Source organism: Homo sapiens, chromosome 9 (genome assembly GCF_000001405.40).
Source record: "Homo sapiens chromosome 9, GRCh38.p14 Primary Assembly".
Taxonomy (NCBI): Eukaryota; Metazoa; Chordata; class Mammalia; order Primates; family Hominidae; genus Homo; species Homo sapiens.
Genome location: NC_000009.12, coordinates 134,410,080 through 134,435,175, shown reverse-complemented (window position 1 = coordinate 134,435,175; position 25,096 = coordinate 134,410,080). Strand labels below are relative to the sequence as shown.

General features: G+C 62.6%; 1 protein-coding gene across 3 annotated transcripts in view, besides 3 other annotated features; it reads right to left on the bottom strand.

The window, feature by feature from the left end:
• The window catches only part of RXRA (retinoid X receptor alpha), a 114,131-nt gene that overhangs the window by 5,410 nt on the left and 83,625 nt on the right, over window positions 1–25,096 (bottom strand). For all 3 annotated transcript variants that reach the window (NM_002957.6, NM_001291920.2, NM_001291921.2), the window contains 5 exons: window positions 17,849–18,018; window positions 13,371–13,500; window positions 5,936–6,068; window positions 3,180–3,271; window positions 969–1,074 (listed from right to left, as the gene is read on the bottom strand). In NM_002957.6, the coding sequence (NP_002948.1) occupies window positions 969–1,074; window positions 3,180–3,271; window positions 5,936–6,068; window positions 13,371–13,500; window positions 17,849–18,018 (631 nt within the window). The remainder of the gene's footprint in view (window positions 1–968; window positions 1,075–3,179; window positions 3,272–5,935; window positions 6,069–13,370; window positions 13,501–17,848; window positions 18,019–25,096) is intronic.
• Window positions 366–865: an enhancer, noted in NCBI's record as "H3K4me1 hESC enhancer chr9:137326157-137326656 (GRCh37/hg19 assembly coordinates)". NCBI's record gives its function as "activates a minimal SCP1, AML or CMV promoter by ChIP-STARR-seq in primed H9 embryonic stem cells {active_cell/tissue: H9 hESC(primed)}" and the evidence as "EXISTENCE:reporter gene assay evidence [ECO:0000049][PMID:30033119]".
• Window positions 866–1,367: an enhancer, noted in NCBI's record as "H3K4me1 hESC enhancer chr9:137325655-137326156 (GRCh37/hg19 assembly coordinates)". NCBI's record gives its function as "activates a minimal SCP1, AML or CMV promoter by ChIP-STARR-seq in primed H9 embryonic stem cells {active_cell/tissue: H9 hESC(primed)}" and the evidence as "EXISTENCE:reporter gene assay evidence [ECO:0000049][PMID:30033119]".
• Window positions 13,613–14,113: an enhancer, noted in NCBI's record as "H3K4me1 hESC enhancer chr9:137312909-137313409 (GRCh37/hg19 assembly coordinates)". NCBI's record gives its function as "activates a minimal SCP1, AML or CMV promoter by ChIP-STARR-seq in primed H9 embryonic stem cells {active_cell/tissue: H9 hESC(primed)}" and the evidence as "EXISTENCE:reporter gene assay evidence [ECO:0000049][PMID:30033119]".

Below are 25,096 nucleotides of genomic sequence, written 5' to 3'. Positions count from 1 at the left end.
CAGGGAAAAGCTCTGTGGTTGGCTGCCTCACAGGCCTTGTTTTAAAGGCAAAAACAGCGCAGAGGCTGGAGTTGGGCCAGAGAACAAGCTGTTTTCTGCTGAGCTGGCGAGATGGGCCAGGGCAGAAAGCCAGGAAAAACAAGCTGCCTGCCACCCCCTCCTGTCCTCGTCCTCCGGGAAGTTTCACTTTAAACCAAGCCAGATGAGGGCTGGGCAGGCAGCGGGGACACGGTTAACTGTGTATGTGCTGGTGGCGGGAAGGCCTGGGTGTCCTATGAGGTCTGCTGGGCCCCACCTCCCCCGACCCCCTCCCCGCCCCACAGTCTGAGGATCAAGAGGCCAGGAGATGCCCCTTTAGAGAGAAGAGGCAGAATCTGGAGCGCTGACTTTGAATCCCAGGCAGGGATCCACAAACGTTTCTCTTCCTGGACACCTACTGTGCACCCAGCACTGTGGACTCAGAAATGAGGGAGCCCCAGCCCTTCCAGGGCCCACAGCCGGGCAGGGGGGAAACATGAGCGCTACGCTCAGGCCGTGACCGCCTATTCCGTACACACTTGTAGAGAGTGTTTAGTATGTGTGGGCATCTGGCCATCCATTCTACACATGCTTGTGAAGTACCTACTATGTGCTGGTGTCGCCTGGCCTCTGGTGGTTCTGCTTGGTAGGGGAGCGCAGTGGGGGGTGAAGCACAGCCTTCATCTATCTACTGAACAAAGAGAAGCACCTACTATGCGCCAGGTGCAAGGTAATCCTTCCAGTGGGGATACGACGTGGGCCTGTGGGGTGTGCCCGCCACAGCCCACTGGCCTGGAGGACCTCCTGCTGCCTGCTCAGGACCTGCTGGCATGGGCTGGGCCTGGGGAGGGTGCCACCTTCTCATTCACATAAAATGGCCTTGCAGGGGGTGGGGGCTCTGGAGACAAGAGCCTGGGTCTGGGGTGTGTGTGGGACGGGGCGGGACCCACCTTCCCGGCTGCTCTGGGTACTTGTGCTTGCAGTAGGCCTCCAAGGACGCATAGACCTTCTCCCTCAGCGCCTCCACCTCGGCCGGGTTCGAGAGCCCCTTGGAGTCTGAAAGGAAGAAGCCACAGGTCAGAACCCTCAGCTGGGGCGTGTCTCGGGCACCTGCCCCCAGGACCCAGGCTTGTGTGGGGTCTCCCAGGCTGCCCCACCATGGGCAGAGCAGGTGGTGGAGGAATGCCGCTGGACATGCCTCCGCCCGCTCCCCCAGAGCCTGGTGGCAGGGGGACGACTGTGGAACCCACGGCCAGGCCAGGCTGCTCTGGGTCCAGGCTCAGCTCTGCCACTTGCCAGCCACGTGACCTTGGGTCAACTATTTGACCTCCAGAGACTCGGTTTCCCCATCGATAAAGTGTCAGGGATCTGCTGCCTTCCTTCCAGCCGCCTTGGGAACTGGGAGAGACAATGGATGCTGCTGCTGCCCTTGGGTCCCAGCCCCATAACATGGATGGGAGATAGCGCTGCTGCCCCCAGGAGTACCCAGACCCTGCGGAAACCCATCCTCGGTGTGCTTGCGGAGTCCTGAGCTCAGGACCCGGGCTCAAGAGCCTAGAGTGGACAGAGAGGCTAAGATTGCAGCCACCAAAACCTCCAAGGCCCAGGGACCCCCTGTGAATGCCACCTTGGCCCCCAAGGCCCAGGGACCCCCTGTGAATGCCACCTTGGCCTGTGTCCTGGGCTCCTTGGCAACGTACCTGGCTCCCCCAGCTGCCTCCGCTCCAGCCAGTCTCCTCGCCCTCCCTGCATGCCTGTGCCCTGGTCTCTTCGCTTTCCCTGCAAGCCTGTGCCTGGACCCTGCTTGTGCCAGACAATCTCACCCTCCCTGCAAGCCGGTGCCCAGGTCCTGCTGGTGCCCCAGCTCTAGCAACCAGACCACACAGGACCTGAATGGGGATTCCTCGGGCCGGGCCGGGCCGTGGCATGACTCAGCCTCCGAGCTGGCAGGATTACGGCCCGGATGCACAGCCTGGGTGATAAAATGACCCTGGAAACAAGCTCTCCCCACAAGAAGATGCCCATCTCCATCCCGGCCCGGTCCCTCAGAGCCAGGTCTGACAAAGGGCAAGGTCAGAAGGTCAGGGCCAGGAGCCGAGAGGGCTCCACTCCCTCCACCATAGCCCAAGTGAGCTCCCCACAGCAGCCCCAAACCTCTCCCTCCACACCCCAGCCACCTGCCCCTATCACGCAATGAGCTGAGTTTCCAAACACAGAAACCCATAGCTCCCTCCCGGCTGGAACCCCTCAGGACTTGGCTCCCTGTGGCCCCAAGAAAAAACCCAAACTTAGCAAGACTTTCAAGGCCCTGCCTGGGCTGCCTCCACCAGCCCACCCCACCTCCGTGCCTCTCACTCCCCTGGCCCCTAACTTGCAGCTCCCGGAGGAAGTGGCCCGCACCCTCGACCAACCGTGCTCCTGCCCTCACGTGCCGGGGGTGCCTGCTGGTGGGCGTGACCCTCTAAACCCCAAGCTCTAGGCAGGCAAGCCCTATCCAGCAGCTTGAAGGGGCCCTCCCATGCCAGCAGGGCACCGAGCAAACAGGCACGTGTCAGCACTTGTTGGGCGAAGGAGTAGCACCTAGGAGGCTTTTCAAGCCGAGAACCCAGAGGCTGGAGAAGGGCCGCACTGTCGGCCAGGAGGCCTGTGCCCAGCCCCAGCCCCACAGCCCCAAGCCCTGCTCTCCTCAACCACAGGGGCCCAGCCCCAGAAACACCCTGGACCCGAGGCTTGGGGATGAGGTTGGTCCCCTCTGGAACACCCGGCAGGCCTGACCCATCCCCAGCCTGCAGGGCTTGGGACTCCTGAACTTCAGCACCGGAAGTTCACAACCACAGCTGGCCACTTTCGGAGTCTGGATTCCGACGCACAGTGATGAACACTATGAACCGCGGAGCCCAGACGGCACCACCAAGCCCCTCATGACAACTGCCTTGCTGGGTCCCCCTGTGCCCAGGGACCATGCCCCCTTGGCTGGCCCTCAAGGTGAGCAGAAGGCAGCATGGCCACACTTTCACTGGGAGGGGGGCACACTGAGCTCAAGGAGGGTGGGAGTTGGCCCCACATGTAGCCAGAGGCAAGAAGTACAGCCAGGAGGAGGCCCAGGCACCTCTGCCCCACCAGAGAACGGGGCCAGAAGCCTCAAGGCAGGAAGGCCATACCAGGGTTAAAGAGGACGATGGCGCGCAGGCAGCCCAGCTCCGTCTTGTCCATCTGCATGTCCCGCATCTTGGACACAAGCTCCGTCAGCACCCTGCAGAGGAGGAGGGCAGACACCCCATCCCAGTTAGGTCGCAGCCCTCACCAGGGCCACACCCCAGATACCCAAGGCCTCTGGAGAGCCCGGCGTGGCCCGAGGGCCGCTGAGATGGGCCAAGCCAAGGCAAGGACTCCCAGACACCCCGAGAGGGAGTGGGCTGGAACCCAGGCCCAGGTGCCGCCCCTGCCAGGCCTGCCTGGCCCTGCCCGGAGGGTGGGCTCCTCTCCTCTCCCTCTAGGGTCTGCCTGCGGGGCTTTATTCTGGGAACCGAGGTGCTAAGGAGGGGCCTCGTGACAGCTAAACTGAGGTGAGCCGCAGCTGCACAGAGGGCACAGAGTCCACCCCTCCCGAACCCAGTGAGACACACCACTGTCCCTCCTCAGCTGTGGACCCAGCACCACCTGAGGCAAAGCCCCTTCCCATGCCACAGCCCCAGCCGCTCCCTTCAGTCCAGGAAGATACCTTTCCCCAGGGCCTGGTGTCCCTGGGTGGGGGCTGCCAGAGGGAGGCATGTCTACTTCTTGTCACCAGAGAAAAAAAATCCACCAGCCTCAACACGGGGAAAGCCCGCCAGCTCCCTCCATGGAGACGCTGGGGGCGTTCTTGGATTCAGACTCAGCTGCCCCAGCCCTGCAGCTGGATTCTGAATCACACCAGCCTCTGCAGTGTACTGGGCCCCCTAGCCTCAGCAGCCTGCCCACCAACCCCAAAGCTCAACTGCTGTGTCCAGGAAGTAAGGGTGGGCCACAGCGGGGGAAAGGAGGTGACCAGGTGGGGATGGTTGCCTAAGGAGCCTGGGCTCTCCCCTGTGGGCCAAGGGCGGCCCTGAGGGTCTGCAGAATGGGGAGTGCCCTGGTTGATTCCTGGAAGAAGATCTGAAGGAGGCTGGAGAACAGGGTGGGACAGAACAGGAGCTGGGAGGGACCCCCGATGTCTGCTCTGAGGCAGGAGCACACAGCTGCAGAGGGATGGGGCAGCGGGCATGGAAAAGACCTGGGCCACTGAGGGCAGACTTTGCATTCCACTCGCAAAAAAGGCGAGGAAATGCCGGGGCCTCTGTAGTCACTGCTGTGGGACCCCAGAGAATGTAACCCTGAAACCTCTGTCATCGCCATCTCTCTACCAGCCAGACAAAGGATCTGTCAGCTGGGCAAGTGGCTGGGGCTTCGCTTCCCAAAGCCATATCCCCAGTACCCCTCTAAAGAAGCTTCTGTGGGCAATACACACTGCACACTGCACCCTGCAGCCCCCGTGGGGACCCTCCTGTACACTAACTTCTTAAAGGCCCTGACAAGTCCTGCGGCAAAGACCCTCAAGGACACTGTTTGAACTACCGTTTGCCCACCGTCTGCGGCCACAAACCCTTTTGCACTTGGCACATCCCATGGAGGTCAAGTTCCAGGATCACCCTTGGGACTCTGGGACCTGAACCACCCCCTGGGGCATTGCTGCTGGGGCATTAATCCCCCTGTAAGTGCCGGTGCATGGCCTCTACTCACCTCTAACGTTGGGGCTCTCGTGTTCAGGGGCCACGTTCTCCAGGTGGCCTGCTCCTCCCCACCCACGGCTCCTGTGTTGCAGACCCCTGCCCAAGGGACCCCGCAGTGCCCCTCCCCAGCCTTCCCGCTCCAGCTGAAGCTGACATCCGGTCCCCAGAAGGCCCAGTCTGGTGTGTGTGGCTCTCTAGACTCGTGGAGAAAGACTGTGCAGAGAGGCCGGGCGCGGCGGCTCACGCCTGTAATCCCAGCACTTTGGGAGGCCGAGGTGGGCGGATCACGAGGTCAGGAGATCGAGACCATCCTGGCTAACACGGTGAAACCCCGTCTCTACTAAAAATACAAAAAAAATAGCCGGGCGTGGTGGCGGGCGCCTGTAGTTCCAGCTACTCGGGAGGCTGAGGCAGGAGAATGGTGTGAACCCGGGAGGCGGAGCTTGCAGTGAGCCAAGATTGCACCACTGCAATCTAGCCTGGGCGACAGAGCGAGACTCCATCTCAAAAAAAAAAAGGCTGTGCAGAGACAGGGACAAGGAAGCTACTGTCCGCCTCGCCTGGCAGAGCGGAGTTGGCCAGCACTCCAGGAGGGCAACATGAACGGACACGGACCACCCAGGCCCGGACGAGGGTGGGCCCTCCAGCCAGTGCTGCTCCTCCAGTGTGTCCCCTGAGAAGTGGCTGAGGTGCAGCCCTTTGCTCCACTGGGAGGTGTGAAGCACTGCGGTCCCGACACCCCTGCCTGCACGGGGACAGGCGTTAGGCCGCACCACGCCCCGGGCTGCCACGGCATTACCGTGCCAGCCTCAAGCAGCCTGCGACATGCCAACTGGAATTGACACTTTTACAAAACTGCATCTACGGTATAATCACTTTAAAAAGAAACGAAGCTTTCCTTCCCACGGATAAATACATGGGATCGTGAAAAAAGAAGAGATGGAGGGAGATAGGCCAAGTGCTCCCTGTGGTTACAGATGCCCCAGAGGCAGGGCTGGCACAGGGCTCTGAGCCTCCTCCTCATGCTTTTCTCTTTTTCCATGTGTGCACCCTTCATGCACTGAAATAATACTAGGCAGGATGTGCACCGGGGCCAAGGTGGCTGAACTCAGCTGGCCTGGTGGCGGAGGTGACCGAAGCGCCCTCGCCCCTCCCGGGACCACCCCCACCTGTCAAAGATGGCGCCCACCCCTGCGCTGTGGGCGCTGTTCCGGTGGACGTGCAGCCCGGTGGCCAGGAGGATCCCGTCCTTCACGGCGATGGAGCGGTGGGAGAAGGAGGCGATGAGCAGCTCATTCCAGCCTGGGGAGGAGGCACACAGTCACTCAGCTGTCTCCAGGCCCCACGGGGCTCGCCCCTTCCCCAGCCCCTGGTGGGACCCTACAGAGGCAGCATGTCACCGACCCATCCTGACAGGCTCTGGAACCCCAATCCCATGAAGTGTTCCACAGAAAAGAGGTTCCTGAGAATGCCCGTTCTACAGTACACACCGGCACACGAAAGGCCCTGAGAAGTCCCACACAAAGTCCCTTGAGCTTTGTGGAACCCGGGAGCTCACAAACTCATGTGCCCCAGAAGCTTCCTCCCGCGTGTGCAGGACACTCCTGCCACGGAGCACGTGGGAGAGCACCCAGGGATGTTCCCAGGATGGCCCCAGAACCACTGCTGCCAGCAGGGTCCCAGGACTCTCGGGGATCTGTGTGCCCTTCGTGGAATGCCACCAAACAGCAGGTTATCCAACTGAAGGCAGGTGCGTGAGAGCCGCAGCCTCTTTCGGGGGGATTCCCAGGGGGGAAGGTTAGGTAACAGCAGCCCCTCAACATAGTGGGGGTTCCCTGGGGCGGGTGGTTAGGTAACAGCAGCCCCTCAACATAGTGGGGGTTCCCTGGGGCGGGTGGTTAGGTAACAGCAGCCCCTCAACATCGGGGGGTTCCCTGGGGGGTGGGTGGTTAGGTAACAGCAGCCCCTCAACATAGTGGGGGTTCCCTGGGGCGGGTGGTTAGGTAACAGCAGCCTCTCAACATAGTGGGGGTTCCCTGGGGGGCAGACAGTTAGGTAACAGCAGCCCCTCAACATCAGGGGGTTCCCTGGGGGACAGTTAGGTAACAGCAGCCCCTCAACATAGTGGGGGTTCCCTGGGGGTCAGGTGGTTAGGTAACAGCAGCCCCTCAACACAGTGGGGGTTCCCTGGGGCGGGTGGTTAGGTAACAGCAGCCTCTCAACATAGTGGGGGTTCCCTGGGGGGCAGACAGTTAGGTAACAGCAGCCCCTCAACATGAGGTTCCAGTGCAGATGAAGCAGAGCAGGCATCGGGGAGGAAGAAACAGGGACCCTCGCGTGCACACGCACTGCTGTTTTAAGGGCTCCTGGAGACCGGGTGACGTGGAATCACCTGCAGTCACACAGTCAGGGACCCTCGCGCACACACGCACTGCTGTTTTAACAGCTCTTATAGACAGGGTGACATGGAGTCACCTGCAGTCACACAGTCACCTTCAGCACCTTCCACACTCCCTGAGCGCTCTAGAGGCTCCAGCCTCTATGGCCGACACTGTCATTAATTTCCCACTTAATCCCAACTGTAATCCTGGAAAACTGGCATTAACTTTGTTTTACAGAGGGGGAAACTGAGGCATGAGGGGGTAAGTGATCAGCAAGAAGTTGGTGGGGACCACCGTGCCAGCTCCGGCTCGGCCCTCCACACCCTCCCAGCACATACCCACCCTGTCATGGGGAACCCGGGGGCAGGTGTCACCGTCCCCATTCTCCCCATTTCACAACTGAGTAATCCCAGGGCCCCAGGAGGGAGTTCCCACCCCCGAGGCCGCCCCGCCCAGGTGTGCTGACAGACCAGGCAGGGATGGCACCCAACTGGCCCCAGGCTGTGCAACCAAAATGAGGGAGGAACGGTGGGGTCTGTGCCCCATCACCGTGGGAGCATGCAGACGGCACCACGGGCGGTCTGATGGAAAAGCCAGGGCTGGAAATACCGTCACAGACTCGGGACTGGCACCTCCCCGCCTGTCATGCATCCCCTCTCCCTGCCAGGTGGCAGCAGGCAGCCCGTTGCGATGGGGAGTAAGAAGAGTGGGGTCCCCCGGGGCGGGGGTTTAGGAAACACAACCAAGGCCGCAGCATGCAGTGGCATCCCAGGGCTCAGCCGAGCCAGCCGCGAAAACAGCTTCCACACTGCCCAGCCAGATTTTCTTTGACCACAGAACCCTCTTTTTTTTTTTTTTGTTTTTGCCCAATGAAACATCTGTAGCATCACATTTGGGAGAAGTCTAATCTAGAAGAGGCCCCCTCAATCTGACATGTGGGTAATCTGTGGCCCAGGGAGGGGAAGGGTTTGCCCCAAATCACACAGAGACTTGGACAGGAGCCCCGGGCCCACTCCCACTCCTGCCCCTCCTACGGCTCAGCCCGTCAGGTTTTCCCAGGCTGAGAGGCACTGGGTCTGACATCCAGTGAGAGCAAATGCTCTCCTAGGAAAGGGCTCTCCCTCCCTTCCCACACCAGGCCCAGTGTGGACAGACTTCCTGTGGCCAAGGGCAGGGACCCAGGGGGCCGAGGACAAGATCTGGGCTGGGGCACAACTGGCCCCAAACCCACCATCCCTGGCCAGTCCTGGCCTCTCGGGCCTGCCTCTCTCCCTCACATCCTGCAGGCCTGGGGGTTTACCTGAGCAGTGGCCACCTCCCCTCCCACTGCCCCGAGAGCCCCTGAGGCCACCCAGCAGGCACCAGGGTAGACTCGCCTCTGAAACTCTGGTGTGCCCAGCAGAGGGGCCTAGTGCACGGCTGGGGTCAGAAGGCGCTGCTGAGCCGAGGTGCGGCCCTCAGCACGGGATACAGGTCAGGAGCCCAGACACACGGACAGAACAGTGCGGAGTCTCTCTCTGCACCCTCCGGCACGCCGGCTGCATCTCAGCTCCCCTGTCCCCTGTCCCTCCACCCCGATGTCCTCACTCGGTTATTTCTCCTCTCCTGCCCCACACACCTTTGTAAGCTGCCCTCCTCCTTCTCGGATGTAAGAGAAAAATAGGAGAGGAACCCACTTTACAGTAACCTTTGGGGTGTCTTCACCTTCCTAAGTGCTCCATCGCTGCAGGAAGGAGGGCTCCTGGCCCTGTGATGTGGGGGCCCGGCACGGACACAGCTTTAAACGGCTCAGGGTGCGCTGGCCTTTCAGAAGGAGGACCTCAGTGATGCAGAGGATACCAGGTCTTACTCCAGGCTCCAAGCGCAGGACAAAGAGTCTTGCCTGGGGCTGCTCCCTTGGTCACTATGTCCTCCAACTCAAGAGGCTGGCCCTTCCCAAGGAACTTACTCCTGCAGATCCCTCGTGGCCCTGCCCAAACGCTCAGGGCCTCTGCTGGGGTTGCAGGACCCCTGGACAGCGCTTCCGGAAGGAACAGCACAGAGTCAAGGGTCAGGTGGGGAAGCTGGGGCCTCGGGCTCCAACCTGGCTCAGCCACGTTCCTGTCTCACCTCTGAGCCACCACTTCCGCAGCACAAGGGACAGTAATAACACCGACTCCTGGTGGTCTGGAGAGTTAAATGAGTCCACACTCACAAGGCAGGGCAGGGCCCCCCCAGAGTCACGGCTGCTGTCCCCATGGGGCTTGTGATGGGGATCCCGTCCCAGGGCGGCAGTGACAAGAGCCCAGCCTGGCTTACCCTGTGTTCTGGGGCCAGAGATGTGGGCAGGATTAACAAGACCAGGGGAGTAAAGTGGTGTGCTGTCCCCACAGGGGGACCTTGGGCCTGCTACCTAAGCCTGGCCCCTCCCTCCCTCCCTCCCAGCCCAGCAAGGCCCGCCCACTTCCATTCCCCCCACCCCCCTCACCCCCCCCCACCCCCCACCCTGCCGCCACGCAGGAGGTGCCTGTGCAACCCAGGCCCTCAGACGACCCCGCTGGAGCAGCTAACACGGCCTTGGAAAGCAACAGCCTGGGATGAAGGGGGCAGGTGGGAAGGAGGTTGGACGGAGAAACCTGAAAGCTGTGAGCGACCCGGCCCTGTCTCAGTTTACTCATCTGACAAACACAAGGGTCAGGGTGTGACCCAGAGCTTCCATGGAACAAGCCAAAACTCTTCATTTTAATGCTTTATTTCTGAAGGCCTCCTGGACGGGTAGGGCAGCAGCCCACCCCAAGGAAGGGGCCCTACCCCACAGGAGCAGACACGTGTGACATCAACCTCCCACAGCCTGGCTGGAATCCTCCACCAGTTTCTGGGCCCCTGCAGGGCTGTGGCCACTGCACCCCCACTCAGTGTCACCGCGAGCCACAGGTGGACACTCCCCGGAGTGAGCAGAGACCTTGGGCCTTGAACCTGCATGGCCAATGGCTCTCACGATGGTGGGAATTGCAGGTCTGGGCACCCATTCCCATCGTTGCTGTCGCCCAGCGGAAGTGACCTCCCCCACCAGCACTGGGAACACAGTGGGAGGGCCTAGCACAGGGACATAATGGGGGAGCACTCAGTGGCCCTGGCACCTGCCGGAGCTGGGCGGGGCCTCACCTCTGCCACTGCCTCCTGCCAGAAGAAAACCCAGCAGGATCACCCCTGGTCCCCAGTCAGGCTACAGCCATGGATCCTGACCTGAGCCCCCTGGAGGGGGACAGAGTCCTTCAGCCAACACCAGCCAGGCACAGTGTATCCTTGGAGTTAACCCAGGTCCTCTCCAGCCACCTGGCCAGTGCAGGCTTCAAACTCCAGTGTTCCACATCTGAATTGGACGTGTGCTTCAGTGGACCTTACTGGGGCTTGGGGAGACCACCTGATGGGTGAGCTGCTGGCCCCGGCAGACAGAACACACAAGGACACTGAGGCACAGAGAGTAAGTGACTCAGCCAAGGTCAGCTGCTCGTGGGTAGTGGGGCTGGGACTCATGCCGGAAATGCAGCTTCAGACCTCACCATGCGGCCCTCGAAGCCAGAAGCATGCATGAGCAGGGCCCACTGGAGACAGGTCAGCAAGGACCTCAGTGGGCGCCCAGGGGGAGGTCAGGCTGGGAGTCCCACTCAGAGACATGCAGCCGCAGAGATCTCCCGGAAAGAGCCGCTGGGCAGGAGCAGAGGCCACCCTCGCAGAGATGCCACGGGATGGCTTTCCAGGCATCCTAGAAGGGCCTGGGGACTCATGGCACCAGGGCTCTGGGCTAAGGGAAGGGCCTTGCGGGGAGCCCCCACCTGACAGCTGCAGGGAGACCACAGGCAGGTGCCCACCTAAGAGGGACAGCCACAGAAACCCTCTAACCTCAGCACTGCACTCCACCACGACCACCCCACGCAGGCCCTCAGCACCGCACTCCACCACGAACACCCCACACAGGCTGAGGCTGGAGCCAGAAGCTGCCAGAACATGGGACCACAGGGCCAGGCACCACACAAACATGGCGACGGACACAGCCATCCAACCCGACTCGGACCTCCGCCAGGCCCCCAGCGCACAACCATCTGGGATCCCCAGGAAAAGAGCTGCGTGCGGCCAGCTGTTCTCTGGATCGGTCTGGTGGGTTGGGGTGGGGTGGGAGCACCGCCCTCTCTCAGCAAAAGCCTTGGCTATCTCTCCAAGGACCACTGGGGTCAGGCAGGCCTGCAGCTGGCAAAGCCAGGGGCTCTGAACCGAGGGTTCTGGGGGAGCCCCTGCAAACAAGGGCAGGGTTCCCTTGGCAGGCGGAATACTCACCATACCCTGAAAGAAGTCTGAGCCCGCAACGGCAGACAGCCACATGCCTCAGGCCCAGAGGGGCAAGGACCCACCAGACACGAGGCCAGCGGGATTAAGTCAAGGACTTTGAGATGGGAGATTATCCTGGCTCCTCCGGCGGGGCCCAGTATGGCCAGAAGAGTCCTTCCAGGAGGGTGGCGACGGCGCCAGGCCCTATACACACAGCCTGTGTGGTCACAGCCCTGACCCAAGCAACTTCCAGAACATTCCCTGCTTCACAGGGAGCCCGTCTCTGGCTGTGTCTTCTCCACTTGCCACTTAGGAGCCGCCTTGTATGGGCTGAGGCTCCCCAGTCGGGCTGAGGCGGCGGAGCCCACAGTGCGGTAGCGGGCCTCTAGGCAGCTGGGACACCCGGCCCTAAGGGAGCTTGGCTTCTTGGGCCCAGGGGGACATGGGACAGTGACCAGCACCATCGTCGGGCAGTGAGGGCAGACCTGGGCACCCAACGTGTTGCTTCACCAGCAGGAAACTCCACTAACAGCCTGGCCTCACAGCTACCCCGGCTGACTCGGCAAGAACCAGCCCCAGTCAGCACGCCCCTCACACCCCCTTTCCAGGTGGGGGACCAGCTTTGCGGGGGGCCTGCCCCATCCAGGCTTCCACTGCCAACCTGACCCCAAAACCCCAAAGCTGAGCTCCCAGCCACCGTCCTGGCCGCCGCATGGCATCACGGGGAGTGTGATGCGCGTGGAGCAGGCATTTCTGTGCAGTGGCTCTGTGCACCACCATTACCGCATGGAAAGAGAGCTGCGGCCTTGGAGTGGGAGGAGAAGGGCAGAGAGCACGTGGCTCTCCTGGGCAGCCCCTGGAACACAGCCAGCCTCCCTCTCCAGAGCCCCCAAACCTCCACCGACAGCCCATTACCTCTCTGAAGGCCACTGAGAGACCCCGCATGGTACACCTCCTTATGAGGGATGGAGGGAAACTGAGGCCCCAGGCCCTTCCCCCAACAGTCCCATAGAGTACATAGGAGGTCCCAGGACGGGGGAGTGTCCCGGGAGTGGGGAGTGTCCGGGGAGTGGGGAGTGTCCGGGGAGAGGGGAGTGTCCCGGGAGTGGGGAGCGTCCTGGGAGCGGGGAGTGTCCCGGGAGAGGGGAGTGTCCCGGGAGTGGGGACTGTCCCAGGAGGGGGGAGTGTCCCGGAAGGGGGGAGTGTCCCGGGAGAGGGGAGTGTCCTGGGAGGGGGGAGTGTCCCGGTAGCAGGGAGTGTGTCCCGGGAGTAGGGAGTGTCTAGGGAGAGGGGAGCGTCCAGGGAGAGTGGAATGTCACGGGACGGGGGAGTGTCCCGGGAGGGGGGAGTGTCCCGGTAGCGGGGAGTGTGTCCCGGGAGGGGGTAGTGTCCCAGGAGTGGGGAGTGTCCCGGGAAAGGGGAGCGTCCCAGGAAGTAGGAGTGTGTCCTGGGAGCGGGGAGCGTCCTGGGAGATGGGAGCATCCCAGGAGTGGGGAGTATGTCCCAGGAGGGGGAAGTGTGTCCCTGGAGGGGGAAGTGTGTCCCAGGAGGGGGAAGTGTGTCCCAGGAGGGGGAAGTGTGTCCCAGGAGTGGGGAGTGTCCCGGGAGGTAGAAGTGTGTCCCAGGAGTCGGGAGTGTCCTGGGAGAGGGGAGCGTCCTGGGAGAGGGGAGCGTCCTGGGAGATGGGAGCATCCAGGGAGGGGGGAGTGTGTTCCGGGAAGGGGGAGTGTCCCGGGAGGTAGGAGTGTGTCCCAGGAGAGGGGAGTGTCCCGGGAGGTAGGAGTGGGTCCTGGGAGGGGGGAGTGTCCCAGGACAGGGGAGTGTCCCGGGAGTGCGGAGTATCCCGGGAGGGGGGAGTGTCCTGGTACGTGTCCCATCTGCATGGCATCCCCATCCCCACCTAGGCCTCGCCACTCACCTGCCCGCAGCAGGATGACCTGGTCGTCCAGGGGCAGCTCTGAGAAGTGTGGGATCCGCTTGGCCCACTCCACCAGGGTGAAAAGCTGTTTGTCGGCTGCTTGGCAAATGTTGGTGACAGGGTCGTTCGGCTGCAGTGGAGGAAGAAGAGCAGGACATTCAGTCCCAGAAGCCAGTGTACTGACCAAACACAGCCCAGACCAGGCCCTGCCACACGCTGGGCCCATGCAGGACGCTGAATACGGCCCCCAAAGATGCCCAGGCCCCAATCCCCAGAACCTGGGACTATGCGACCTTGCATGGCACATGGGGCTTGGCAGAGGTGATTAGGTGTGGCCTGATATTGGGAGGTAAGCCTGCACCACTGGGGGGACCCAGGGTCATTGCAAGGGGTCTATGAGAGGGAGGCAGGAGGGTCAGAGGAAGAGATGAGATCACAGACGCTGGGGCCCAAGGGGAGAGAGACACTGCTGGGTTTGAAGGTGGAGGAAGAGGCCACAAGCCAAGGAATGTGCCAGAAGCAGAGGCCAGGGCAGACTCCCCAGCAGAGCCTCCAGGAGCCAGCCGGCAGGCACCTTGATGTCAGCCCGGCAAGACTGCTTTTGGCTCTCTGGCCACAGAACAGTCATATAATAAAATGTGTGTTGTTTCCAGCCACTGGGTTACAGCAGGACGCACGAGTCTCTCCCACAGCTCTGGAAGGCAGGTGCGGCGAGCTGACGAAACTGGATATGGGCAGCACTGGAGCAGGGTGGGACCAACCACCTTCATCTCTGATGGCCAAGGTGGCCCACGCTGGGGACAGGGCTGGCCTCTCACGTTCCATCAGGCATGGATGTGGGAGCTCAGGAGGGCAGGAGCCTCGGCTGAGATACCAGGCCCCAGGCACAGAGAGAGCAGCATTCACGGCTCCTTTGGAAAGTCCTAGCCGGAAGGGGGCCATTCAGTCTCACAGATGAGGGGACCCAGGCAGCCTTGAACAGGGCAGGAGGGGAGGCCCCTCCTCAGCTCCTGGCAGGTGGGGCTTGGGTCACGGACCTTCTGTGTCCTGAGCAATGGGAACTCAGATGACGGCCCCCTCAGTGGTGCCGCTGCAGGAATAACGACTGTGAATAGGATTCGGGGATCCCTCACTTCAGGGCATCTGCCAAGGAGAAAAATGCCTCCCTTTGAAGAGCTTCCACCAACAGCAACCATCTGCTCATCAGAGACGTGCAGCCTAAACGCAGCGCCCGGCGGGAAAGGCCTCTGAGGGCGGAGTGAGAAGGCCCCCGAGGAATGGCACAGAGACTCGCCAGGACCCTCGGAAGAGGGCAGGGCAGCCCTTGGGGGCCCGAGCCAGAAGGGGTATACACAGGGGTGGGATCCCTCGGCTGAGTGGGGTTGACCACAGTCTACACAGACTCACTCATTCCTCCACAAACCTTCCATCAGCAGCAGCCACAGCCCCCAGCACTCACAGGGCTCCCGGATCTGTGCACAGCGCCCCCCAGGCCTGCCACAGCCAGGCTGGCTTCTTAGCCTCAGCCTCTCCTTCTGTCACGCTGGGGGCTGAAAGGGGCCCATCCTTCTCGCCTGCCCATCGGCTGCAGGGTATCCCTGAGAAAGGATGAAGCAGGCCTGGCAGGGGCGGGGGGATATGGGAACCAGCCCCGAGCACCGTGTCTGCAGCAGTGGCTCTGCTGGGGATCCTTGTACCCAGGAACTTCCCAGCCACTAGCCGGCCACTCTCGGAAGCCAAGACGGGGCCCAGAGCAGGCCCAGGTGACAGGCTGGTGCCATGGGTAGGAAGGAGAGCCTCAAGCCCTCCTGGGCTGGCTGGGACCTCTGCAGGAGTGGGCACACGGGTCACCATCTGTCATGTGCCTGCAGTGTGCACAGCCGGCCACAGGGAGCAGAATGTGGCAGGCTGGAGAGCCAGGAGGCCGGAGCGGAGGAGGAGGCACACTCCCGGCAGGTGTGAGGCTCTCGCTCCAGTACCAGCAGGGCTAGGCCTGGAGGGGGTCCCCTAGGTAGGGAGGGATAGTGCAGGATCCTGGCTCCACCTCCCTGTGTGGCCTGGGGAAAGGATTAACCTCTGTGAGCCTCCCATTCTCGCCTGGAGATCCAACGTGCCTCATGTAACAGTAGGCGTGTGATGGGCTCTACTCCTGCCTAGAAGTGTCCACAGGACCCGCCCAGGCCCTGCCCCGCGCTGGGGAGAAACCAGGCACCAGGACCGTGACGCTGGGCAGGTCGCCCCCTCTCTGGACCTCAGTTTGCCCATCTGAGAGAAGGGGCCCAGTGAGCGGTTCTGGAAGTTGGACCCAGGCCAGTCCACAGAGGAGCGTTCAGTGTGAGATGAGACAGAGCAGGGAGTGAGCGGGCACAGAGAGACCCCCTCCCCGTGGAAGACGTGTCCTTTATCCCCAGCGAGCCCTGCCTGCCTCTGTGGTTCTAAACTCCCTGAACTTTCAGGCAGTGGCGGAGACAGCAGATGGCAGATTCCCCCCCAAATAATGTCCTTCACGAAATAAAAACTTGGCAGCCCTTTGTGCATCTGCCAAACTTGCTTTTGGATTTTCTGCTGGATCATGAAACCCTCACAGCCACCCTCCCTCCCCTGCCCTCCGCGAGGCTGGTGAGGCGGGAGCAGGGCAGGGCATGCGTGCAGACCAGCCAGGGCTGGGGGTGGGTCTGTGCCTGTCACTCAAGGGGAGGGTTTCTCCGGAAAGAACGGTGCCTGCTGTCGGGGTCCCATTCATCTTCCCCCAAGCTGGGCAGCCCCAGCCCCCAGCCAGAGTAGAGGTCTGAGCAGAGCCGGGGACGTGGGGGCACCAGGTTGTCCTATCCAGAAAGGGCAGGGAAGCAGGGTGGCCCTGACCCAGCCACGGGGCCTCAGACAAGAGCAGACCCCCACCCTCAGACAGGCAGAGGCAGTGGGGATGCCGGCCTTGTGTGAGTGCCAACGAGCAGGGTGGGGTCGCTGTCCTTGACCGAAGCTGGTGGTGAGGAGCAGCACAGCCATCACCAGCAGCCTCGTGGGGGCAGAAATTAACCCACCACACACCTTACCCTGTGAACACACCTCACCCTGTGGTGGCCAGTGCCAGGGGCCACAGAGAAAAGATCAGGTGCTCTCAGCCCACATCACAGGGGCAGTCCCCACCCTGGCAGGGGCACAGATGAAGGCCGGAGGTACCTCAGCTGAGACCAAAGCCTGGGGAAGAGCCAGAGGGCCCAGTTCCAGGCCACGTGAGCTGCAAGCACGAAGGCCCTGGGGGGTGGGGAGACAGTGACCTGCAGGGCGCACCCAGCACGGAGGGCAGGCTGGTGTGCCTGGGCCCACAGAGGGACAGAGGTTGGGGCAACCTCATGGTCGGCCTGTATAAGGTCTTCGGTGGCCACAGGGCTCTGGTCCCAGCCCCAAACCCACACGGAGACACAGATGAAGACTGGACACCATGGTGACCATGGCAAAAGACACATGGGCCCTGAGGGCCAGCTGGACCCAGGTCCCCAGCAGCAGGAAGCTTACTGCACAGTCCTGAACCTTCACACGGGTGGCCAGGAGCTCACCTGCCCAACCCCGGGCACAGCTGGAGCCACCCCCTCAGTGGGGCCTGGGACAGGTGGGGTCTCCCAGCCAGACAAGCTCACCAGGGAGCAATGGTTCCCGAGCAGCACAGGTTCCTAGGCCTTAGGGTAGGGTAGGAGGGGCTCAGAACGCCCCTGTGCTGCCCTCCCTGGCAAGGCCACAGCCAGAAGCAAAGATGCCACAGGGAGCGAGCCAGTAACAGGGAGGGTCCAAGGAGAGGAGGGCGAGGCCAGGGGGTCTTGAATCCAACACCTCCAGGACCAGCTGGAGCCAGCCCAGGAGAAGAGCCCGGGACCAGGGCTGCGGCCCACCCAATCCTCCTCCCCTTGAGGCTGTTGGGGTGGGAGGGGGCAGGAGGGTCAGCATGGGGGTGACCAGCTGGGGGGCTGCAGAGCTGCTTCCTGTATCAACAGCAGCCACCGCGACTGCCGGGCACCTGCCCAGGGCCACACGGCTGCTGGCAGAGCCAGCCCTGGAACCAACCTGCAGAGCCTCTTGCTGGGGGCTCGGCCTCCTCCCATACCTTTTCCAAGTGGCACCGGGGAGCAGGGACAGCCTCTGCACCGAGACAGGCCAAACTCCGAGGGGACACGGCGGCTGAGGCCCCAGCAGAGGTGGCCGAGGATGATGATGTGGCCGCAGGGCCCCAGGCCCCGGGCCCCTGGCCCCTGGCCCCTGCCCCATGGGCTACTCGTGCATGGGCCAGGAGAGGAGAGTGCCGCCCAGCTGGGGCGAGGGGCCCACGGGGTCACCTCAGGTAAGAGGCCGAGCTGAGGCAGCCACAGGGCCCAGGGCAGCCCCCAGGACCTCTCTGGCTCATCAGCTGCTCAGGTGGGAGGGTGAGTGAGTGAGGGAAACTGAGGCATGTGAGGCTGCCCACCCCTGCACAGGCTGCAACTCACCGAGCTGGGGTTCAGCCCCATGTTTGCCTCCACGTAGGTCTCGGTCTTGGGCTCCACGGCCAGCTCAGCCTCCAGGATCCTCTCCACCGGCATGTCCTCGTTGGCGCTGCTGGTCGACTCCACCTCATTCTCGTTCCGGTCCTTGCCACGCTGCCGCTCCTCCTGCACGGCTACAACCCGGGAGGCGCAGGTGAGCCCCACGCTCAGCCCGGCCAGTGGCTCCCAGGGAAGGCTGTCCTGGCCGGGTGGTGCCAGCTCCCAGCCAACTCACCCACAACACCAGCATCCCCACCAGCACTGGGTGATGGAGACCCCATCTCTGCCCCAGGCCTGGCCTCCGTGTGGTTGTGTGCTCTGAGAACAGAGGCCAACTCTCATTAATTCCAATCAATGTTCACACCAGGAGCCTGCCTGGGGCCTGGAAGGAGACAGTGCAGCAGGGACCCCAACATGGGGCGAGAAAGGTCCTGACGGTCTATGGACTCAGGGAGAACCAGGAAGCCTTCCTGGAAGAGGTGTCAATGTGACTGGAAGAGGAGGTTGCAGAGGAATCATGGCTCAGGCTGGAGACACGATCCCTGCAAAGGCCCAGAAGCAGAGCAGAGCACGCTCATGAGGCAGCACAGGGGCACCCGTGCTGGCTGAGGGCCTGGGCAAGGGGAACCTGCGGCGGGGGGCGGGGGAGGGACAGGCTCAGAGACACCTGGGCAATCAGGAAACCGTGCACCTGCAGACCCCACGCCCCTCCCAAGGACACTGGGCCCTGCCAGAAATGGAGGGCAGGCGCCCGGCCCCACCCTGGCCACACAGAGACGGCCCACCCAGCTCCACCGACCATGCCCCATGCAGGGCACCGAGATGCCTTTCAATCTGTCCCAGGAAGCAGCCACTCGGGGGGAACCAGAAGCCGAGCATTATGACAAAATAGAGCGATGCTTGCAGGCAGCAGGATCTGCACCAGGCATGGGCTCCGGTCAGCTGACTCTCATCAGCCCTGGGGGTGGGCGCTCAGCAAAGGGGCCTGAGGCATGAGCCCTGGCTGCCCAGGCGCATGAGGCTCCTCCCGCCCCCAGCTTACCTCCACCTGGATTTGCCTTCCTCGACTGTCCACTTTGAACACTGAGGAAGCCACCTCAGCCCCTCTGTCAGCCTATCTGGGGATCCCAAGTGCCGGGGGACAGGCTAGGACCCAGATGGAATTTGGATAGAAGAGTCCACTTGGCTTATGGGCGGTTCCCCCGAGACACGTCCCCTTCCCTGAAAGTCCTGAGCTGGGGCTCTGGTCCCCAACCCCACCACCTCCTTCTGTTCCATCCACCACCCAACAACCCCAACACCGCCCCACAGGGCGGGCACTCACATTACCCCATTGTACCGGTGAGAAAACTATGGCTGAGAGAGAAAATGACTGGTCTAAGTGAGTAAACCGCAGAGCCAGAAAAGCAACAGCGACCATGGGGTCCTGCGGCCACCTCTGTCCAGCACAGCTCCACGCCCCTACTCCAGTCAAGGCCTCTCCACTCTCGCCCTGGAAATGCCCTTCCCACCGTATCTCCTCCGAGCTCAGACATGGACCTGGGGCCAGTTCCTCCCTCCCTTGTGCCCTCCTGCCAGTGTGCTGGGCTGGGTAGTCCCTGACCCAGGCCCCTTCTCCTCCTGGTCTGAGGCCTAGGATGGTGCCCTCCTAAGGGCCCAAGGGTATGGCCTGGCAGAGGGGTTCCTGAAGCTGCCACCTCTCTGGGCCTGTGGCGGGGCTCATCCCAGCCCCTCTAGGATGTCTCGATGGTGGGCAGAACACCTGGGGTACTCACAGGCACCAGCCACCCATGGACTGACCATGTCCCATCCCACCCTCCCACCCTCTGGCTTCCAGATGGGTTTGGCAAACGGTGGGAGAACATATCTGTGCCTGTGGCACCCTCCCTGCCCCTACCCGCCACGGTGTCAGCCGCCACTTTCTCCTGAAGCTACAGCTCCCACTGAGCAGCCGTCTCGGGGCTCTGCAAGCCCCTCCCTTCACACCCCCGGGCCCAGGGTCCCCAGTCCTGCCCTGATTCCCTTCATGCCGCCACAGCTCTGTAACAGCCCCACGTGGATGCCTCTCAGCCACCCTGTGCCAACAGTTTCCTGCATGGCCCACTGGCTTGAGCGAGGGACTTCCGCCCACACAGGGAGACTCAGGCGGGGAGGCCCATCCCCAGCTTCAGGATACACCAACCAGGCAGAGGAGCCAGCCAGGGACCCCGCAGTCGGCATGCACAGGCCTGGCCCTACTGGAAACCTGATGGTGGGTGGGGGCAGGATGGGGAGCAGGGCTGGTGGGCAAATGGCAAGGGTCTGGCAGAGGCTGCAGAAGGCTCCGGTCAGCCCCCACATGGGACTTCCATGAGCCCTCCAGAGGGCGGTGCTCATCCGGGGCGGGGTCACTACTGACACGACCCTCCATACAGGGTCCTGAGCCTATAGAGCCGACCCCACCCACGCTGAGCAGCCCCCGGGGCAGGAAGCCCCCGCACACGCAGATCTCAGCCAGCATCTGAGCTGAGGGGTACGGCACCTCCACTGGCCCAGGTCCCTGAGACCCTAAGGATGGGCAGCAAGGGCAGAATTCTAAAGTCTCAGTGCCAAGACATAGCTGGCACTGCTGTCTTCCCAGTGGGGAAGCTGAGGCTCTGAGAGCCAAAGGGGCAGGGCTGAGCGCTCAAGACAGTGAGCAGCCTAAAGCTGCAGGCCCTGGGATCCGACAACCCCAGCCCCACAGAGCCTGCTAGCCTGCCACAGCCCAAGCAGCCGTGTGGCCCCGGCCAAGTCCCCTGACCTCTCTGTGCCTCGGCTCCCTCATCCGTAAGATGAAAATGACAGCGCCCACCCCCAGGATGGCTCCAAGAGGAAGCGCCAGCACACGGGGGGCCTGGAGGTGCTCAGAGCTGTCACCGGAGCCTCCCACCCCACGCGCCAGCCCGGCCCGGTGCCAGGGATTTTCTCCTGCTCAGAGGTAGCCCCAGGGCATGGGGAGCCCCAGACAAGGGTGGCCCTGAGCGAGGGGCCTTGCTGCCAGTTCTCCCCAGGTGCCTGGAGCTGGGCTCCTTGGCACCTGCCTCCTCCGCCAGGGCAGCCGAGAATTAATTAGCGAGTGTTTTGTGAAGCACTTTGAAGCTGTGAAGGGCCTGGCAGCTCTGCCCAGCATCATTATAAATATGATCGCTTTATTTATAGGCTGGGGGGCAGGAGGGGCCGGGATTTATGCTTTGCCAGCACAATCACCTTCTAGACGAAGTCATGCTTGACTCATGTTCCGCTGGCGCCGGAGGCCGGGCGGGAGGTGTCTGTAAACACAGAGCCTCTTTACCCTCCAGACCAGAGCGTGGCGGCTGGAGGAGGCAGAGTGGAGGCACGGGGGAGGCTGCTCAGAGGCAGAGGAGACTCACACACCGCAGCCCAGTCCTCCCAGGAAGACCTGAGACTCCTGCCCAGGCGGACCCTCCCCAGCATCACTGGGGTCCCAGGCCCCCAGAGACAAGCTGGCCTAGGACTCAGGGTGCAGCAGCCCCTCAGAAGCAAAGGACATCTCCGACCTGCCACAGCCCCTCAGGGTCAAGCAGGAGGGAGGGGGTCTGGGGAAGGGCAGACAGCTCCGAGGCAGGCATGTCGGAGCCGAGGGGCATCCCCAGGCCCACTGGCTCCTCTGGCTTGGGTAGTGGCAATGGCTGAGTCCTTCCTCCGTCCCTTGTGCAGCCCAGGGCTGGGCCCAAGACAGGCAGGACCGAACTCCACCAAACCATTCTGGCCTCCTCTTAAGGGTGGGGAGACAGAGACCCAGAGAGCAGCGCCAGAGGCCACACAGCAAGCTAGAGTCTCTAAAGGGAGTGACTTACCTTCCCTCCAGGGCTTCAACCTAGAGCAAGGCATCAGAACACGAGAACCATGCACACACACGTGCACACAAACCATGCAGACATACACACACAGACACACAGAGACATACCACACCACACATACCACACCACAGACATATCACACACACACCACACGCACACCCATACACCACACAGACATACCACACCCACACCCACACGTGACCACTGCTCTCCAACCCCACCACCAGCCACGCACAGCACTCTCATCCACCCCCAAGCTCGCAGGGGTCTTCCTGATGCCCCCAGCCCATCACAGATGAGGAACCTGAGGACTGGGCGAGGCAAGGTCACTTGCCCAGTTCACAGGCCAGAAGGCAAGAGGGCCACACTCGAGCCCAGCCGGGGCTCCCTTCCCACAGCAGAGACCTGTGGGTCAGCCACATCCCTGCAGTGCACGCACATGCACACACGTGCACACATAGGTGCACACACGCCAGACCCTGCTGTTTCCACACCCAGTCCTTCAGAGCTGGAGGGTGGGCACAGGAAGCAAAGGCAGGCAGGAAGGAAATGGGAAGCAGCCTTCCTGAGGGAGGAGGAGGAAGCAGAATGGGGGACAGCCACTGCCCCCTCTAGACCAATGTCTCCCCCGACGACCCTGGGTGGAAGCTAGGTCTTTTCCATCGGACTGGGAACCCCCAAGGGTGAGGCCTGTCTTCCCCATCAGAGCACGTGTCCCTGCGGGACCCCCAACCCCTGCCCCCTCCCCGGCTTCAGCAAACAGGCCCAGGCTCAGCTTGGCAGAGGGCCAACACCCACCACTGCACGTCCCCCCACCTCTGCCCACCCCTGGTCCCGGGAATGCTGCGGAACGAGTCCCTCCTGGTGGCTGCCTGCGCGTGCAGGCCCCATTGCCCAACCTGAGATGCTATCAGCCTGTGGTATCCTACCGCATAGGGGTGGGAACCCATCTGCCCCAGAGCCAGAGTGGGCCTTTGCCGGGGGCAGAGTCACCGCATGGGGGCACCTGGGCCATCCTGCCTTCAGCCAGCCCTGGGACCAACCCCAGGCGACTCCCTCGCAGCACTGCACTGGGATGCGACGCCTCAGCTCCAGCCTGTTTCTAGGGGTCTGATCACAAACCGGGCCGAGGGACCACTTGACACCAAGGCCAGTGGGCGGAGCTGCCCACCAGGGGGCCTGACACTTAGGAGGGCTCAGTCCCCAGAGCCGACAGCTCCCATCCTGCATGCTCTGGGCCACAGGCACCTAGTGTTGGCCAACTTGGCCCCATAGCTTTCTCCAGGGCTGCTGCAATGCCTCACCCATGCAGCCAACAGCCCTGCCCTCCGCTGTCGGGGAGCCTGCCTTGCAGTGGTTTGCCCAAGAGGAGAGAGGGGAGTGCTCTGCACTTCAGGACCCATCTGGAGCCAAGGGGTCTTGCCCAGCACCCAGACGCAGGCCGGGGAGGAGGGTGCCTGCCAAGCCCTCCCAGCCACCGTTTCCACGTGGGGTCCCTGCAGGGCGAGTGCCTGGGCTGCACCAGGGGCCCCGTTACTGCCCAAGAGTAAGGAGCTCCACAGGCCTGGCTGTGCAGCCCACACAGCCAGGCTGGGGGAGGCAAGAGACTCCCCCTGTGCACAAGGAGAGGCACTGGCAGCAGGGCACGTTTGGCACGGGGGCCTCACTGCCTCCTCACCGCCCACGCAGAGGTGCCCTCCACACCGAGGCTGAGTTCTGCAGCTGTGTTTGGGGCGAGAGCGCTCGGCAGCATTCTGACTGCAAGTTCACGCCTCAGAATCCTGCTGGAGGCAAAGGGGAGGAGGTCCCTTGACAGCAGCAGCAGTTTCTCTCACGGCCCTAAGTCTGGTCTCCAGGGCTTATGCGCTGCCAAGAGGAAGGACTGGAAGCAGGAAGGACCGGCAAGAAATGGGGGCCACGCCTGGTGCTGGCCCTTAGACCTCCCCACGGCTCACCTCTCTATACCCCATTTCTCTGTCTCACAGGTATGGGGCGAGTGAGACCATGTGTGGGGATCAGGAAGGGGGTGTCCAGGGTGGTCCCCCACATGAGCTGCTCCTAACAGGACCCAGTCACCGATGGGCACCAGGGGAGCGGTCTGACCAGGTGATTCCAGGTCCCCCCAGCCCCAACACTGCACGGTTCCACTGGGATGGGATGGGGTGTCGTCCCCAGGCTTTGGGGGGCCCAGGCAGCTGGAGTCTGATGATCCCAGGCACATGGATGACTGGGCTGCAGGGCCTTAGGAAGGAGTCAGTGCAGCCTGGAGGGTCCGGGACGGGGCTCAGAAAGGCCATCACCGACTTCCGAGGGCCAGGTGTGATGACAGCCTCAGACTTCACGGACACTGCTCCCTGCAGCCAGGCCTGTGGTGCCGACACCTTTTCATTCCTCAGGCGTCAACAGCCCTCCTGCCTGCCTGCGTCTCACCGGGTGCCCGAGGCAGGGTCAGGTGCCTCCTCTGGGCTCCCACAGTGCCTGAGCTTCCCCTAAGCCTGCACTGGCTGCCCCCTGGGCCCCCCCTGGTTATCTGATGATCACTTTCAAAGGACAGCGAGCTTACTGCTGCAGGCCCAGGCCAGGCATCAGCCATGCACAGCGCTCTCATCTGCCCCCAAGCTCGCAGGGGTCTCCCTGAAGCCCCCAGGATCTGAGAGTGGTCTCGGCTAAACCAAGCTCTCTGTGCTGTGGCATCCTCACAGAGACTGCCAGGCTAAGGCTGCACACGAGGCCTTCCCCCCCCAGCTCCAGCCACGCCTCGGGCCTCCACCCCAGAACAGGCCAGTCTCCACGCCTGGGCACAGGGGCCCCGGCCACTGCCTACTATGCCTGCCCCTGTCCCAGTTTCCATCTTCCAGGGACAAGGCTGCACCTGCCACCACAGCAAGCCTCCCTGCCCACACCAGGCACCCGGAAGAACCAGACTGGGTCCACACCTCTCCAGGCTGGGTACACACCTCTCCAGGCTGGGCACACACCTCTCCAGGCTGGGCACATGCTCCTCTGCCCTCTGGTGAAAGCAACAAGGTCTGGATGGGGGCCAGGGCCCAGCATGTGACCCTGCGCAAGGCTTGAACCGTCTGCCCTCGGTTTCCCAACCTGCACAGCACAGGGTGGGCCTGAGCAAACGTCAGCACTCCATGAAACACGAATCCCCATCAGAAAGGCCTGACTGGCAGCACTGGGCATGGCCACACCAGCTCTGGAAGGCAGCTCTGCTATGCAGGCACAAGGACCTCACACCAGCCCATACACCACACTCAGCCTCGCAGCCCAAGGAGGACACCCTCCAGGAGCACGGCGCCTGGCAGAGGCTCTGATTTCTCAACAGGACCGTTAAGGCTGAGAAGACATACACAAGAGAGATGAT